This window comes from Homo sapiens, chromosome 10, assembly GCF_000001405.40.
Source record: "Homo sapiens chromosome 10, GRCh38.p14 Primary Assembly".
NCBI classification, from domain to species: Eukaryota; Metazoa; Chordata; class Mammalia; order Primates; family Hominidae; genus Homo; species Homo sapiens.
Genome location: NC_000010.11, coordinates 50,690,721 through 50,709,544, shown reverse-complemented (window position 1 = coordinate 50,709,544; position 18,824 = coordinate 50,690,721). Strand labels below are relative to the sequence as shown.

The 18,824-nt window shown below is 46.3% G+C and overlaps 3 pseudogenes, besides 1 other annotated feature; 1 reads left to right on the top strand and 2 right to left on the bottom strand.

Annotated features, from left to right (window-relative positions):
• On the top strand, nucleotides 627-4,887 carry CTSLP4 (cathepsin L pseudogene 4; annotated as a pseudogene).
• NPAP1P1 (nuclear pore associated protein 1 pseudogene 1) lies at nucleotides 12,396-13,278 on the bottom strand (annotated as a pseudogene).
• Nucleotides 13,475-13,952, bottom strand: LOC100421009 (POM121 transmembrane nucleoporin pseudogene; annotated as a pseudogene).
• Nucleotides 17,457-17,957: an enhancer, noted in NCBI's record as "H3K4me1 hESC enhancer chr10:52451348-52451848 (GRCh37/hg19 assembly coordinates)". NCBI's record gives its function as "activates a minimal SCP1, AML or CMV promoter by ChIP-STARR-seq in primed H9 embryonic stem cells {active_cell/tissue: H9 hESC(primed)}" and the evidence as "EXISTENCE:reporter gene assay evidence [ECO:0000049][PMID:30033119]".

Sequence of the window (18,824 nt, the reverse complement as noted above, 5' to 3'; positions counted from 1 at the left end):
AGCTGGAGTGTTGGCAGGACTGGCCCACCTGCAGGACTGCAGGACTGCGGGAACGGCGGTAGATGGGTGCTCTCCTTCCCAGTTTGTCCTGGGAAGACATTCAATAACTGTTTCATTACAAGGGGCATTTGGAAAACATACTTCACCTTCTGTTGTGTATTAGCCAAGAACAAGGTGTGATGTGACTTCCCAATTATTGGGGATCCCTTTGTCCCTTCTTGAAATTAGATGTCTTCATTCTTGAGGTTTTGCCTGGATGACCTCAGCACAATTGGTACAAAACCTGGGCCAACGGTTTCCTAGTTTCCCGGTTGTTGCCTTAAGCTTCTCGCCCATCAGGTACCTTCCTGTCCTTTTCATAGCCTGTCATCATCATCCCAGAAAACTGTTTCAACTCCTACAGCTCTGGACAGGCTGCTTTTCATTTTGGTGGGTCCCTCCAATACCTCCACTTGCCCTGTTTTTCTCCAGCCACATCCTTGGCCTCTTCCACAGTCCTTAGGTAAATGCTTGGAAGAATAATTTAAATATTTTTATTCTACCATGGTGGCCCTAGTTTCTCAGGGGGTAGTAAAATGGCTTTTTAGGATCGGTCTAATCAGATCCTCATTTCTTTTCCCTTCCTAGATTTTTGAAACATGAATCCTTCACTCCTCCTGGCTGCCTTTTTCCTGGGAATTGCCTCAGCTGCTCTAACACGTGACCACAGTTTAGACGCACAATGGACCAAGTGGAAGGCAAAGCACAAGAGATTATATGACATGGTTGGTGGCATCTGAAACTGTCCAGGGGAACCCCAGAGAGATGGGCATTGCTATTGGGATCATATGGCCAGAGAGTGGCTTCTAGAGGCTGGCTCCTACCAATAACCTAACGCAATAACTTAATAGCACTGATTATGAGCACGATATGGGCATACACCCTTGTTGTGTCTCAGCTTGGAAAACATCTCCTAGAAGTGTCAAGCCTTCCCTGGCCATGGTTACTCTTACATCTCTGTCTGAAGATTCACTTGGTTAGCATATGTTGGGTTTTAATTAGAAATAAATAGCATCGGCGGGGCACGGTGGCTCACGCCTGTGATACCAGCACTTTGGGAGGCCGAGGCAGGCAGATCACAAAGTCAGGAGATTGAGACCATCCTGGCTAACACGGTGAAACCCCGTCTCTACTAAAAAAAAAATACAAAAAGTTAGCATGGTGGCAGGCGCCTGTAGTTCCAGCTACTTGGGAGACTGAGGCAGGAGAATGGCATGAACCCGGGAGGCAGAGCTTGCAGTGAGCTGAGATCGTGCCACTGCACTCCAGCCTGGGCGACAGAGTGAGACTCCGTCTCAAAAAAAAAAAAGAAATGAAGAGCATCAGTTACATGTTTGCCTTTAGAATGGAGAAGGATGGAGGAGAGCAGTGTGAGAGAAGGACGTGAAGATGATTGAGCAGCACAATCAGGAATACAGCCAAGGGAAACACAGCTTCACAATGGCCATGAACGCCTTTGGAGACATGGTAAGTATGCTGTGGGCTGCCCAGCTCTGTGCTTCCCTCCTCCTCAGTTCTTTACCAAATTAATCTCTTGCTTCTTAACATTTTATTTACTTTTCTTTGAAGACCAATGAAGAATTCAGGCAGGTGATGAATGGTTTTCAACACCAGAAGCACAGGAAGGGGAAACAGTTCCAGGAACGCCTGCTTCTTGAGATCCCCACATCTGTGGACTGGAGAGAGAAAGGCTACATGACTCCTATGAAGGATCAGGTGAGACTGTGTTAGGTTCAGACCTCCCATCACCCCAGGAAAGCCAAGAAGCAATTGACATTTGTGCTATGGTAGACTGTGCAGCAACATGCAGTTCACTTTTTAAAGGAGTATTTAGCTACGTGAGCTAAATACTCATGTTGTTAAAAGTCTTGCTGTGTGTGTGTGTGTGTGTGTGTGTGTGTGTGTGGATATCAGCTTTTTTATTCTCTTTTCAGGGTCAGTGTGGCTCTTGTTGGGCTTTTAGTGCAACTGGTGCTCTGGAAGGGCAGATGTTCTGGAAAACAGGCAAACTTATCTCACTGAATGAGCAGAATCTGGTAGACTGCTCTGGGCCTCAAGGCAATGAGGGCTGCAATGGTGGCTTCATGGATAATCCCTTCCGGTATGTTCAGGAGAACGGAGGCCTGGACTCTGAGGCATCCTATCCATATGAAGGAAAGGTAAATGGAGCTCCTTTTCTTGCTGCCATTCCTGCTTGGTTTTACTGGGACACTTTCAGAGATAACAGACACTTTTCAGAATTCACGTTTTAGATGGTGGAATCTCTATCTGCAAAGTGACAGTGTTGTCATTATAAATTATAGCCTTTGCACAGTTCTGTGATTACATGGTTAACATGCAGCTGTTCTTGCTTCTATGTGACACGGAGAATATACAAACCATTCTACATATAATACAGATGTCTCCATTGTGAAAAATGTCTTACGGAAAGTAAACCTAGGGGTCTCGCTGAAGAGAACTGAGCTAATTTTCAGTTTCAAATTAACTATTAATAATAACATTTCACTTCCTTGGATGATTTGTAACAGTGTTGACTTGGAAATTCTATGCTGCAAACTGCTGAGTGTTGTGGTTCTGACTCACATTCCCCAGGAGAAGGATGGTAGTAATCAAGTCGCCTCCCTCTTCACCTTTAAAAGGTTAAAACCTGTAGGTACAATCCCAAGTATTCTGCTGCTAATGACACTGGCTTTGTGGACATCCCTTCACGGGAGAAGGACTTGGCGAAGGCAGTGGCAACTGTGGGGCCCATCTCTGTTGCTGTTGGTGCAAGCCATGTCTCCTTCCAGTTCTATAAAAAAGGTAAGCATCTTTCTTCATAGAAATTATTGCAGAAAAAAAGTAAACCACCATGACACACCAGCATGATGGACTCTGTACACGCAATAATCATACCCAATGCTTCTATTTGATATTACATTGAGCGTATCTCCATGAATACCTGTACTTCATAACTTTTTATAAATAGCTATGTTATTTATAGTATAGTTTAATTTACTTAAATATTGACTAATTGTTGTATTCTTAGAATTTTTCCAAAGATTTTTACTTCTGTGATTAAATCTGAAAAGAGCCTTTTGAGTCAAGGATTTTGGTGTTCTGTGCTATTTTTAAGATTGATATTCTAGAGTAGAATTACAAGCTTAAAATGAATGGTCTTTTATGCCTGTAGGAAAGTTTTTTTATGAGGGACTTATGCTAATTTCTATTTCTGCTAGTTGTGGATGAGAGCCTAATTCCCTAGCCTTGATAACAATAGATCTTGTTAAGCCCTATCTGGACTGTGTGTCATTTCACTGATTTTAGAGATGCCTCCCTCCCTGTGGGAGACAGGGTGGGTTACTGTCAGGTGTCCTTGGGAACTTCTCACCCAGCCTTCATTTTATTCTCTCAGGAATTTATTTTGAGCCACGCTGTGACCCTGAAGGCCTGGATCATGCTATGCTGGTAGTTGGCTACAGCTATGAAGGAGCAGACTCAGATAACAATAAATATTGGCTGGTGAAGAACAGGTATAAATTGCCAGAAAGACTTATAGTTGAAATTCAAAAGGGAATCCTTTTTTGCAATCAGTATTTACATACCACAAGCCCTTAATCACATTTCTGAAATCCCAGAAGTCTTTTTCACCCTTAGGCAGAACACAGAATATTAATGATTGATTGTAACGTCAAGATACTGTCACAAGCATGCTGGGGATATTAATATGGTATTTGTCCCATTGCATGTCTAAATTCTGAACATTTTCTTAATTCTGAAGCATATCAGCTGGAAAGACATCCTATCCTTTTTCTGTTTCTGATTTTGCAGTTCTGTGAAAGGTCACAGTTTTGGGTCTGGGATTGAAGCGATATGCAGGTTTTGACTCAAGAATTTACAAGGGATGAACAGGAACATCAGCATCTCCTGATTCTTTATGTTAAGCCTGTGGCTTCTGGCACACTGTGGCTTCTGGCACACTGTTTAAGTTAATAACCCAGTGTGCTTTATCCTTCCTCTGAAATGGAAAACCTGCTCTCCTTTCAGCTGGGGTAAAAACTGGGGCATGGATGGCTACATAAAGATGGCCAAAGACCGGAGGAACAGCTGTGGAATTGCCACAGCAGCCAGCTACCCCACTGTGTGAGCTGATGGTTGGTGATGAGGAAGAACTTGACTGAGGATGGCACATCCAAAGGAGGAATTTATCTTCAATCTACCAGCCCCTGCTGTGTGGAATGCACACTTCAATCATTGAAGATCCAAGTGTGATTGGAATTCTGATATTTTCACACTGGTAAATGTTACCTGTATTTTAATTACTGCTATAAACATGTTTGTATTATTGATTCACTTACTTTGTATTTTCATTTTAAAAGGATATATACAATTTTACCTGTTTAAATAAACTGTAATTTCAAATGTACTCGTGGGGCTTCTTTCTGTTTTGATGCACTGACTTTTTTGTGTAGTTGTATTAGTCTGTTTTCACGCTGCTGATAAAGACATATCCAAGACTGGGCAATTTATAAAAGAAAGAGATTTAATGGACTCACAGTTCCACGTGGTTGGGGAGGCCTCACAATCATGACAGAAGGTGAAAGGCATGTCTCACATGGCAGCAGAAAAGAGAAGACAATGAGAGTCAAGCGAAAGGGGTTTCCCTTATAAAACCATCAGATCTCGTGAGACTTATTCACTATTATGAGAACAGCATGGGAAAGACCTGCCCCCATGATTCAATTACCTCCCATCAGGTTCCTCCCACAACATGTGGGAATTGTGGGAGTTAAAATTCAAGATGAGATTTGGGTGGAACACAGCCAAACCATATCAGTAGTCAAGCATGAAACTGGGCTCTAAGCCATACCTGCCCTACCAGTGGTTCACTAGGAGGAACAGTGGGTGGCCTTCTGGCTCTTCTAGTAACAAATGTGCAGATCTCATGTCAGCTGCCCAGTGGTTGTGTCTGACTCAATTCTTGATTGAAGCAAAATATGACAAACGATCTATAAGGACAAAGGAAAATTGTTTTAATAAAGAAAAAATTCACATTTTTCTTTAAAGTGATCAGACATACATGTAATTTCAATACTGAAAAAGAGCCTTAGAGATCATGTTTATCTCACCCACAATGTTTGCAACCCAGCCAAGTTACAGGGCAAAGCTATCAGGGCCAGTTTCTGGAGCATCTTCCCCAGCTGCTGGTGAAGACCCCATGGCCACTTTGCAGTTGAGGTGAGACAAGGCACTAGTGCGTTGGCAAGGCTGTTTGTCTTTGGGTCCTCAAGGGATGAGGGATAAACTCCAGGGTGTGAGGCTGGGCTTCAGGAATGGTGTGCTGGCCTTGGAAGGTGGAAGACAGATAAGAGGACCCAAACTGAGAGTCTGTGGCCACATTCACACCAAGCTACCTGTAAGCACCTGAATTATTTTAACCAATAGAAAAACTTCCCACATTGTATTGGCTAAAAGAGCACATAGTCTCATCATCTGTGTTTTTTCAAAAGCCTCATGTTCCCACTGAAAAAAAATATAAAAGATAGTTAGAAGTGTTTAGTGAATAGACTCCATAATCTTTCAGGAAGAAAACTAGGAGGACAATGGGGTCTCATCCCACAAAGCCTCCAGCAGGCTCCATTTAAGTTCATCTGAACTGGATCATGTGCCACGCTGGACTCTTATGTGCCCTTCCCTAGTCGTTGCTAAAACCATCTTTTTGACATAAAATGACAAAAATGGCAACTGTGAAATTTTATAATAAAAGTAGCCCATGTTAGCAAGAAGATTGGGAAGATTCCCAAGGTAAATCCCTTAACTGTGCAGGTTGGGTCCTAGATTTGATACAGTTAGAATTTATGCAGCACCCAACATATGCAGGTTATCACCATGGTGGAAGAGACAGGCCCTTACCTCAAGGAGCTGGAACTGTTAGGGAAAGGGAGGTAATGAGGGAGGGTTTCCGGGAGGAAGGGAAAGACAATATCAACCAGAGCAGCCAGTCACTAAGGGAAGGTGAAGAGGTGAGCATCTTAGCAGAGACTAGCATGTCAGTAACCCTGAGAAATGACTGCAGTGAGAGACCCTGCAGAGTGATTAGGTCCAGGTGTTGGGTGATGAAGCTTGCTAAGCAGAGTGTTTGAACATAGGGGACCACTGGAGAGTGCAGGAACAGACCATTCTGGTTCTCCTCTATTACTGTAAAACAAACCACCCAGAAACTCAGTGGCTTGGTAGAAACATCTTTCACATTTTCCGCCTGGACTTGGCTGTGTGGTTTCGCGGGGAGACATCTGTAGGCTCTATCTGTGCTGGAGACATCTGTAGGGCTTGACGGGACTAGACATCTGCAGGGCTTGACGAGACTAGACATCTGCAAAGCCTCACGCACAGGGCTGGTTGCAGATGCTGGTGTTGGCTGGGCATTTAGCTTGGGCTGTTGACCAGAGCACCTGCCTGGGGCCTCTCCATGGCTTGGGCTTCTCACAGCATCAACGTTGGGAAAAATATATACATATACCTTGGCAAACTTTAAACACTGAATTGCACAGGTGTTTATGTTCATCTTTATTATTAAATAAATTAACAAAAAAAGTATTATGAGGAGATTTGGTCTCTTTCTCCAGTAATACAGTTTTAAAATCTCATAATTAACATAATTAAAGTTTTTTATACTTATACTTTCAGTAAGTATTTATTAGTCATTTTTATTTATTTATTTACTTTTTTTGAGATGAGGTTTGGCTCTTGGTGCCCAGGCTGGTGTGCAATGGCACGATCCCAGCTCACTGCAACCTCTGCCTTCTGGGTTCAAATGATTCTCCTGCCTCAGCCTCCCGAGTAACTGGGATTACAGGCATGTGCCACCATGCCCAGCTAATTTTGTATTTTTAGTAGAGATGGGGTTTCTCCATGTTGGTCAGGCTGGTCTTGAACTCCCAACCTCAGGTGATCCACCCGCCTTGGTTATATTCTAACCTAATTAAAATCTTTTTAAAAGCAGGACAAAAAATTCATCGTTTTGTAAGATTATAGCTACGTTAAAATATGTCTAGAAAATACAGCCAGAGGAAATAAAAACTTTCATTGCCTCAAATTTCCGCAAAGCCAAGGGGCACCACCCATTGCCAGGGAGGGTGAGCCCTGGAAGCACAGAGGTTGCTGACTCCCAGCCCAGCAGCAGCTGGACACTCAGCCCCCAGTGCCTGGTTTCTCCTTGCACGTGAATCCAGGTCCCAGCATCTTGTCATTGACAGGAACAGCCCTGGCTCACCCTCTTGGAAAACAGAAAGATGCTCATGGAGGCTGGCTGTGAGGCAACCTGAGGGCTCTGAAGACCTCCTGTGGGGCTCACACTGGGGCCAGAGCCTCAGCCTCTGACACCCAAGAATGGAGTAGGCAGGATGGGTGGGGCAGAGAAGAAGAAAGTTCTCCGGATGTCCTGGTTAGTCACCCTGACCCTGGGAAATGCACACTCACGGCTGAATCAGGGAGAATCAAGTCTCTTGGCCAGAAAAACAAGCCATTATGGCCAGCGAAGCGCTCACTAAGCACACACAAATACACATATATGTGCACCCACAAACACATAGAATTACACACATGCTCAATACACACATAGGTACATGCACACTAACTCATTACACATATGAGCATGTATGCACACAACACACCTATACACATACACTTATGTACAGATGCCCAAATACACACATACTCACACCCTTACACAATACGCATGTATATACATGTAGTCCTGACACACATTCACACACATGTGCACACACACCTACATACACACCACAGTATAATACACTTAGTAGAGTAGTATCCGGGGGCCTCAGTTGTGGTCAGATGGCCTGACAGTCTGAATTGTTAATCATTGAACTGTGTGATTTTGTCTAAATCTTTTCATCTCTGCTTCCAGCCCCCAAAAGAGTGCGGTTGACTCAAATCATCTGGAAGTTCTCTTTAGTTGTAAAATTCTGTGATTTCAATGGGAAAAGATGGTATCATCCACCCAGAGCTCACCTGAGCTCCTTCTCTGTACCCTGAGGAGGATCCTGGGGGCTGGAGTCACAGCATAGGGTGCTTTGGAGGCCATCCTCACCCAGCGCCAGCCCCAAGAGTGTTGCCACCAGGGATAGCCCAGCATCTCCACAGACCTCTGCTGTGGGCATTCCTGTGACTTCTTCCCTGCCCCTCCTCCCCATGCCTACGCACTTCTTCCCTCCTTTCTGATCAAGAATATGCCTTGGGAGCAAGTAGGCAGGAAACAGCAATCTTCTGAGGCCCAGCGCTTCCAGAAAGAGGTCGGCAGCTGTCTGTCCTGGGGACGTTTCCTGGTGGAGGTGGAAGGGGGCTCACTGCTCCTTAACACGCTCTTTCAACAGTGCCTCCCTGGTTTTCTCTTTCTGGCCAGGGCATTCATTTGGAGCAGACAAGCCTGTTCCCTGTCCCAACTCAACATCTGGAAGTTGCTGGGTCATGGGCTCCAGGTGTTGTTTGGAGCCTCTCATCAGCATGTGACTTTTGGTTGTGATGATAAAGTCTGACCGCACCTCAGGTTGTCACCCAAAGCTCAGCTACAATCTCTACAAATTACCCCTGAAAGCAAATTTCTCAGGCAGCTGTGGAGCTCAGCCCGTGGCCTGGTAGGTGAGCCAGGATGTGGCCCTCACTGGGCATTTCATACCTGTGGCCAGCACGGGGCTGGCACCATAGTGGTACCCAACAGCCCCTTGTTGGAAGAATGAATTTGAGCACCCCACTCCTCATGAACAGCTTGGCCTGATTAAGTTCTCAAGAATCCAAAGGCCTGCAAACACTATGACATCCTCCCATATATGAATTCAAACTGAACAAAAACCCTGAAAACTAAAAAAAAAAAAAAAAGGAAAAAAAAGAAAATGAGCCAAGGAACAATCACTTCTTCCCATTAGGAAGACCACTTTGTACTTTGTAGGTGGTTATTTTGGAAATAACAATCTTTCACTTTTCTTATCCCCCATTTCTCTAGGGGCCTCTGCTTTGCTGGGCTGCTCTAAATACAATGGGTAGTCCTGTACTTCACTCTGCCACATTTATTGTTACCTGGACATTTTTAGGTGCCAGCTTTATCTTTTTATTTTTATTTTCAAAATGTGGTAAAACATAAATAACATAAGATTGATCATTTTAACCATCTTGAACTGCACAGATTGGTGGCATTAAATACATTCACATTTTTATGCAACCAACACCACCATCCATCCATGAATACTTTCATCCTGCAAAACAGAAACCATCTTTTTACTCCCCTAGCAACCATGCCCTCCTCTCTAGCTTATATTTATTTTATGCTACATAGAATATCCTAGAAGCAGAGAACTTGAGCAGTGGAGGGCACCTGGTAAGGTTATCTCTTCCAAACACCTGCCCTTCAGCAAAACCACACGTGGGGTAGACTGAGCCAGGCAGAATCAACCTTGTTTTTAAATGTACAAAACTAGGCCTTCTTTGGAAGTCACGTATTTGAAATATCAAGTCAGAAAATTCTTTTTCTAAAGTAAAAATTTTCTTTGTCATTTCCTCAGTTACTCTTTTTCTTTTTCAGATTGAAAATAACCAGTTACTGTCCTCAGGGAATCAACAATTTCATGAGCAGTGACTTCCTGGGAGGCCGTGGTTCTCAAACGTTAGCCGGCCTCAGTGTCAGCTGGAGGGGTTATGAAAGCACAGATCGCTGCACCTAACCCCAGAGTTTTAGATCCCAGGGGTCCAAGGAGGACTCCAGAAGTTGCATTTCCAGCAAATTCCCATGTGATGCTGATGCTGTTGGACTGGGGATCCCATTTTAAGAAATGCTGCTATAAGGCCCAGTGCTAGGAAATCTGAAGGATAGAAATATGCAGGTACCTAAGAGGTGGGAACAAATGGAATTAACAAGGTAAATGGGTTAAACTTCACATGGAAAGTGCCAAACGCCCTTCACATAAGCCCTTTGCTGTCATAGAGCTCACAAGCTCAGGGTGCGGTGCAGGAGGCTGACGTGAACAGTAGTTTGGGATGTCAGTCATTCACACCGGGAACTGTGTGGACACTGCAGGGGAGCACAGCGCTCAGGCTGGGTGAGGAAGGGGCCGGGGATGGCTTCCTGCAGACCTGGAAGCATCAGGAGCCATTCCTGGGTGGATTCTTAAAGAAAAGAAGGTGTCCAGACAAAGGGGCCAGGCGAGGCACATGCTCTTCCAGCAGAGGAACAACGTGGAACTGAAAAGGGGACATGGAGCATTCACGGGGCAGCAAGCTATGCAAGTGTCCCCAAGCAGAGAGTGGAATTGAGGCAGTGAGGACAGAGTCCAGAGGCGGGCAGGGCGAGACCCAGAAGGCATGGTAACACAGGAGGAGGAGCCCAGGCGATATTCTGAAGGCTCCTTTGACATCGAGGACAGAGAAAGCTTTGCTAAGACTCCATATAAGGGGGCATCAGAGAGGAAAGGAGAATCAGGAACACAGCTCTCTCCAGTCCTCTAGGTCCTCCACTATAGGATAGCCTAGGTGCAGACAAAATTTCCTTTCCTTTTTGTTTTGTTGGAAGATTTTGGAATTGCATGGAGGAAAACTTGTAAAGACACTGGGCAAGCCTAGAACCAAAATGCACACAAAGAGGATACAGAAGGTGGGTCTGGAGGTGAACAGAGGAGGCTTCCAACTCCATCTTGTCTTGTGCCGCAGTCTCTGTATTTAAATAGAGAACTAATTCCCTCCCAAGACCCACAGGACCTCACAGGGGCTGGCCTCCCTGCTGTTTTCAGCCTGAGCTCACAGGCGCTGGCCCTCACTCTTCCTGCTCCCTCTCCATAAGCCTCTTTCAAACTGGGTTTGCCAGGCTGTCTTCTGCCCCAACCCTTTCCCCAGGTGTTTTCCTCCATCTGGAGTAGTCTTGCCCTCACCTGACTAATTAACTACATTTAATCTAAGACCCACTCCCTCAGGGCAATCTGATCTACCTGCATAGGTTCAATCTCTACTCTTAGAGGGTTTTAAGCATTGGGTACTTTTACTTGATAGCACTTAGTGGTTGTTATTTGTGTAATTAGTTGTTGAATGTCTCTTCTACTAGAACAGGGGTCAGCAAACCATAGCCAGCTTTGGTCTGAAGCCTGATTTTGTAAATAAAATGTTAATGGAGGAGATCAGGTGCCTACAGGGTCATATTGCTGGAGATGTGGAGTGACCGATCAAGATCAACATATTTTGGTTCATTTGGATGATCGACTTAACAGAGAGCTTCCATATTTTTATCTATTTAACATTTCTTTGGTGCCAGGGCATGACATTTTCTTTGTTATAGAGAAATATTAAAGAAAAAAGAATGCACAGGGAGTTAATATGAAATATTGTGTTCTCACCAAGTGAAGGCCAAAAGGCTTCATTACAGGATGTGCAAAGGAAGCCTCTGTGTAACTTACATAGGGACAAGTGGTGGAAGCAGCCAGTTACTGCAAAGCACACCGCCAACAGGCGGGTCTCAGGAGAGTCTGCATGTGGACAGGGGGCGCCACTTCCTCACAGCGGAGGGGAGTGACTGTTCTGCCTTTGTTCCATTATATTAATATTGTCATTTGAATTTTATGAGGTCTCTGCATTTGTTGATCTGCAAGTTTCTTTAGGTTTTATGGTTGCAAGGTATCTATATGCCTACATTCTTTATATCTAGTTTTAAGGTTACATATAATTAATATATATAATATTTAATTAAAAATTAAAATATGTAAGATATATATTATAAAATATATAGACACATGAGCAGAGGCAGAGCAAAAAGAATAAGGTTTTAATTTACAATCAGGAGAGAGAAGAGCCCATCAAAGTAAACAGGCAAGGGGAAGAGGGGCACCTGGAAATAGCGGTGGGCATCCTGCCAGTTCAAAGAATAGAGACCTGGCTGGGGGCTTTGGTCAGCCAGATGAACAGTCAAGCGGGGGAGGGCACAGCTGATGATGACACATGCTGGCTTCTTCTTCTGTCCACAGGGGAGTGCCTCAAATACACTGTGGTTCTGATTGGGCTCATCAGCCCCACATCCTCCTCCAACACACACACACACACACACACACACACACACACACACACACACACACACTTTGAGGTTTGGGGCCTCTGGCTTTTATAAGGAGAGAGCAGCTTAAATTTAACTTCAATGGACTGAGCCCCTTCCTCCAGGAGCAATGTCCATTCATGGGGACCATATGTGGAGGGAGACTTGCTTCTTATTTGTTCCCCATCATACCACCTGTGTGTACCAGGTGGGCCTTGGGTGTTCTTTCTGAATGGGGACCCTAACTGTGTTCAGTTGCAGCAGTTGTGGTGCCATCCCCCATCGCACAATCTGTTCTGGAGGAGGATGTTGCAGAGGCGCTGCTCCATAAACTGGAGGTGCCTGGAGGAGCCGCGATGGGAAGGCTTGGAAAAACAGGGGCACTGGGGACAGAGGCTTTTCATTGCTGCCCATCAGGGGGCCCCAAGTGTGGGCTGAGGGGTGGGCCTGGAGAATATGAATGTAGCCAGGCAGACGTAAGCTGATGTCTTTCCAAGGTGCCTCTACTGTGCACTGAATTTGGGAAATTAAGAGGGTGCTCACTCTGGAGCTTGGTGAAGATTTGAAAACCACAGTGTTAGTAGTGGTAGTCATGTCCGTAGCAAAGAGCTGAGGGCTCAAGGAGGCTGCAAGTTCAGGTGGGCAGATGCCCTTGCTGTGATGGTGGAAATGGCTGCTGTGGAATTCATCTGCTGATGAGTGATAGCAGGGATCCCGGTGGAAGGTGCTGGAAGAGGAGTTGGGGAGGAAAGAGGAGGAGAGGAAAACACACATATGGGTGTAGGAGGCTCCCTTCTGAAGGGAAGCTGGAAGGAGAAAGATGCGGGGCTAGGAGGTATGGGGCAGGGGTGAGAGGTCAGAGGTGCTGAAGCTGCAGCTGAATGAGGGCAGCCTCCTTTCTCATTAGGTGGAACCCCCAAAATGGGGGCAAGGTCAGCAGGAGGACCCAGGGGAGAGTTAGGAATTATGGATATCAATTTTTACTCAATTCTTGGTGTGGGCAAAGGTGGAGGGACAGGCAGGGTGAGGGGCCCAGCAGCCATGTGGGCCAAGTCACAGGTAGGAGGAGGAGCTGGGATCTGTGAAGTGTAGGTGGCCTGGGCAGGGAGTCTCAGCAGGTGTGGAGACAGCAGGGGCAGGCTGGGTGGCACTGCAGTTTGCCATGTCTTCTTCTTTTTTGAGGCGGAATCTCATTCTGTCGCCAGGCTGGAGTGCAGTGGTGCAATCTCCACTCACTGCAACGTCCACCTCCCGAGTTCAAGCCATTGTCCTGCCTCAGCCTCCTGAGTAGCTGGGACTACAGGCACGAGCCACCATGCCCAGCTAATTTTTGTATTTTCAGTAAAGACGGGGTTTCACCGTGTTGGCCAGGATGGTCTCGATCTCTCGACCTCGTGATCCGCCCGCCTCAGCTTCCCAAAGTGCTCAGATTACGGGTGTGAGCCACCATGCCTGCCCTGCCATGTCTTCTTTATCTTCCCAAGCAGCTGTTTTAGTCTCCTGGATTCTGATGTTCTACTGGTGTTCTTCTTATCCATGTTGCCCAGGAATCCCTCAGGAGATAGGCAGGGAAGCTTAGCAGGTGGGGGCAGGTCATCTCTATTCCACCTCTATTGCCGGGGAGGGGTTGGTGGCAGCAGCAGTGGTGGTCCTGACAGTTTTCTTTCGCTGGACCCGTGGCCGGCAGCTCTGGGTGGAGTATAGCTACTTGATGCAAGAGCTTCAGGATCCTTGGGCTGCATCTCCTTCCCCCGCATTAGCAAGCCTGGAGAGCTGGGCAGGTGGTCTTTACCCAACACCTTCAAGGCCACCTTCTCTGGCCACAGGGAGCAGCCCAGAACTGGGAAAGGGATTATTATCCTTAATATTATCCATAATATTCCAAAAGTTCTCAAAAATTGGTAAGAAAAGGCACAACATCCCAATGGGAAAGTGGCACCACACACTCTGGACTGTTTCCGCTGCTCAGTGGCCTGAGTATAAGTGCAGCCAGTGCTTATCTGCCTCTCCTCTCCCCTGCCTGTGATGCCCCCTCAGAAGGTGTCTCCCCATTTTTTCTGTCAGTGCTTCACTGATAGAAAAATGCCGCACTTCCCACGCAAGGCTCTAGTTCCAGACATGCTTCCAGAATTCTCGGGAAACCCCCTCCTCTCCCCTGAAAACCCCGCCCTTGCACATTAGATATCGTGGTTTTCCTGTTGGGGTCCCATTATGGCATCATCAGCAGATGGGGCACAGTCTCCTGAGGCCTGGGAGGAATCTGTCCCAGAAACCAGGGTGTGGGGACTTCTGACTAAATCAAGGGAAGGTTTTCATGGAGAAAGTCAACAAAAAGTGAACATTCTAATTTCAAAAATAGTCTCCTCATTGCACTTCAAATTAAGGGACTTGGAAAAAGGGGAGCAGGGAGCTGGGTGTTTAATGGGTTCAGAGTCTGATATTGGGATGATGAGAAAGTTCTTGAGATGAATTGGCGGTGATGGTGAGAAAACAATGTGAATAAACTTAACGCCAATAAACTCTGTACTCAAAAATGATGAAAATGGTAGTTTCTGTTAAATCTGTTTTACCTCAATAAAAAGTAAATAAAGTTTTGTTCCCAGTGGGCAGGTAAGTAGGGGAAACTCTCTTGCCACCTCTTGGCAAGATCCTGAGAAACAGTTGGGCTCCCCAGCAGTGTGAGCTCTTCTGAGGGCAGTGGTGACAGCCCGAGAGACAGTTGAGTGTAGCAAGGGCAGGTGCAGGTCCCTGGTCCCAGAATGTGAGGGTGGCTAGCCAGCCTCGACTTCTGCCTGCCTAGGAGGCATCCTAGGAGGTGAGCCTGAGTGAGCAGGGGTGAGCTCTGTGTGTCCTGTGTGCAGCAGCAGATTATCTGTCTGCCCGTGCAGAGAGGGGAGAAAGCCATGATGATGGGACCTGGTTTGGCTGAGAATCCCCAAAGGCCCAGGAGCTCCTTAACCTTACATTAAAACACAAAAGAGAGCTCAGCAGAGGCCACCACACCCAGCTAATTTTTGTATGTTTAGTAAAGACAGGGTTTCACCATGTTGGCCAGACTGGTCCTGAACTCCTGACCTCAGGTGATCCACCTGCCTCCGCCTCCCAAAGTGCTGGGATTACAAGCATGAGCCACCATGCCCAGCCTTCATTACCCTTTATTACTCATTTTTTTATTATTGTTTGTCTCTGCCTATCAACCACTGTGCTCATCACTCACCTGACAAATATCACATCTTGAGTAGATACTTGTAGAATGAATGAATATGATTTCGCTTCAAGACCTAAGGAGTGGAGGCAATGGTGGACTACTAGAACAGGTGTCTCTAAGTGTGTTTGTATAAGACATTCTAGACCTCTAGAATGTCTCTTCTACTAGAACTCAGCCTTGATGACCTTACGCCCAGTGATGGAGAGCATTCATGAAGCATTTAAGGAGGCTGGCCTGCAGGGAAGCAGTCTTGGACAAGTTCAACCTGCCCCCAGGCCACTTCAACAATCAAAATTTTTATCACTCCTCCTTGCTTCCTTTACTCCTTCTAAAAGCACAGAGTTTTTCATGGGGTTGCACATCGTTCATTTTACAAACACTATTAACATCATTTCATTAAAAATGACATCCTAACCCCAATTAACTAAGAAGTACATAATGCAGAATAAGTAGCAGTTTGCCCTTAGACCATTAGCAACATTCAGGGACATATACATTTTCCTCAATTTCTTCATTGTGCTATTGGGCAGTGAAGAGTTGGTGTTTTAGAACTCCTCAGATATTTGGTGTGTTATCAGGGGCATTGCTGAAAGCAGGAATCTTAGCGGCTGGGAGTCACCGTGTGGGCAGAGGAGGAGAGGAGACAGAGACTGTGTGGAGAGGTGGGGCTCTGTGCTGTCAGTGAGGGCTGTTCTCTGCCCCCATCTCTTCCAGTCCCTTTTTATCTCTGCCATCCCAGGAATGATGGAAGTGCCTGAGGAAGACTACCTGGGCTTCCTGATGAGTTACTGGCAGACTGCCTCTGTGGGACAAGAGGGTCACCTGCAAGCCAGACAGTCCAAATCCTCCCTGAAACACACCACTCTCCACTCACTGCTTACCAATTCCCTTCAAGGCTGCTCCAGCTGCACATTTTTAAAAGTTGTTCTATTCAATGAGAAGACATAGACACAGGGAGGGGAACATCACACACCGGGGCCTGTCAGGGGGTCAGGGGGTCAGGGGGTCAGGGTCAAGGGGAGGGAGAGCATTAGGACAAATACCTAATGCAGGCAGGGCTTAAAACCTAGATGATGGGTTGATAGGTGCAACAAACCACCATGGCCCATGTATACCTATGTAATGAAACTGTACATTCTGCACATGTATCCTGGAACTTTAAAATAAAATAAAAACTTTTTAAAAAGTTGTTCTATTAAGATATGGTCTGTGGTTTGGGAAAATGGTGACTCCTTGTCCTGTTCTTAGAGAAATATTTCATTTTGTAGGGATGACTGGCCTGGGGGCCCAAAATCTCACTGTCAGTCTGCTCTGGTTCTTCAGCAAATGCTTTGAATCAGGGTTGATGGTGGCAAAAATTGGTAGTCAATACCTTCAGCATCATGGTCCTTCCCTTGCATCACTGGCCAAGCTTCACTCTGGTGAATTCCACATATAAGGCTTGCCCAGCCCTGTCTCATTCTCTTGGATGAGCCACAGCCATGCTACCCACCAGGACCAGGCACTTCCTCTGCACACTCTGTGGATAGCAGTCATTTCCCTGAATCCATGAAAGCATCATCCGCTTAAACCACTATTTCTTAGTGTTGTTTTTTGCAACTTTGAATTCCATAATTTCTGTTTCATTCTCTGTATAAATTGGAGAATACTTGTGAAAATTCCTTATCTCACAGTCCATTTTCTGTAACATTAGTCTTAGCCCTTTTAAAATCCTGGGCCTTTCTCTCTTTAAGTTTTTCTGGGATTGAGGCCAGTGGGATGGCAAAGCTGCTGTCACTGAGGTATGGCCTGGAGAGTCCTTGGGTGTCTGGGGGAGAAGGCAGGGCCACCAGCATGGGAGCCAGGAATAGGGGACGACTCCAGGGGATGAAGCCCAAGGAAGAGTCAGCATGTCAGGTGCAGATCAGTGCAGGATGAGGCCCTGAAGTGTGGGTGACCAGCCACTCACAGGGGGAATGAGGCTCTTTGGCCCTATTTCTCATGGGGCTGGTATGTGGGGCCCCAGGTGTCCCTGTGCTCAGAGCCTCAGCTTGCAGGGAGACCCTGTCAGCCCCTCCATGGGAGTTGGGAGTTAAAGGGGGCCATGAGCAGCTCTCCTGGGGGAAGTTCCTTGTCCTGGGATGGGGGCATCCATCCCTCAGGCCCCACCTGTCCTTTTGGGCTCCAAGCGCAGAAAGTTGCAATCTCGGTCTTCACATGGAGACCAAATGTGTCCCAAGCCAGGCTGCAGCACACACATGAGGGCTTAGGTAAACAGGCCAAAGCCCACTGCTCCCCCTGACAAGGGCAAATGTAACAGAAAACGAAGTGGACAGACTTCAGAGAATGTCAGGGAGCTGCCCCAGAGGTGGAAGCCAGGAACGCGGGACAGCTGGTGCCTGACTGAGGGTGCCCATCACCACAGCCCACGTCCTCATGCATTTCCACAGGGTAAGTCTGGCTCCAGCATTTACTCTGGAATAATAGGGCCCCACAGCACTGACGATCGTGACCACCTGTCTGCCAGAGAGATGCGAGAGAGACTGAGGAGAAGAGTGCCCTGTGTGATGCTCCCTGGGCCAACTGAGAGGAAAGGACCTTTCGGGCACGCAGGCCCCAGACTCAGCATTTATATCTGGCTCATGAGCCCAATGACTCTGGGCAGCAGAGTAGCACATGGTGGACGCATGCTCTATATTGAGTTAGGCAGGCCAGGAGCTGACTGCTGACAATTGGCCTGGCCACGTTCTTGCACTTCACTGTACAAGAGTCTCAGGGTGGAGTGAAGTGAGCTCTGAGACCACACCACAGAAAATTCATTGCTGGGAAGACCAAGCATGCCCAGGACAGCTATATAGAATGTGGTTGTTGGGTCCCTCACACCATCTAAAGCAGAGGCTCTTAAATAGCTGGGGTTAGGACCCTCCCAAATCTTCACTGAAATTTCCAAGCCCATCACAGACTCCAAATTTTGCTAGATTGCCTGAGGGTCCATGGACTCCTGGACAAGAACACCCTGTACTGGTCAGCAAAGTTGCCATGTCAGAGCCAAGAGGTCAGGAATTCAAAACCAGCCTAGCCAAGATGGTGAAACCCCGTCTCTACTAAAAATACAAAAATTAGCCAGGCGTGGTGGCAGGTGCCTGTAATCCCAGTTACTCAGGAGGCTGAGGCAGGAGAATCACTTGAACCTGGGAGGCAGAGGTTGCAGTGAGCCAAGATTGCACCACTGCACTGCAGCGTGGGTGACAGAGTGAGACTCTATCTCAAAGAAAAAAAAGATTATACATCATGACCAAGTTGGATTTATACTTGGAATGCAAGGATGAGTGAAGATACAAAAATCAATCAAGTCATACACTACATTAATATAATGAAAGACAGAAACCACATGATTCAGACAAAGCATTCAACAAAATTCAACACCATTTCATCATTAAAAACACTCAACAAACTAGGAATAAAAGGAAAATACTACCACATAATAAAGGCCTTACATGAAATGCCCACAACTAACATTATGTTTACTAGTGGAAG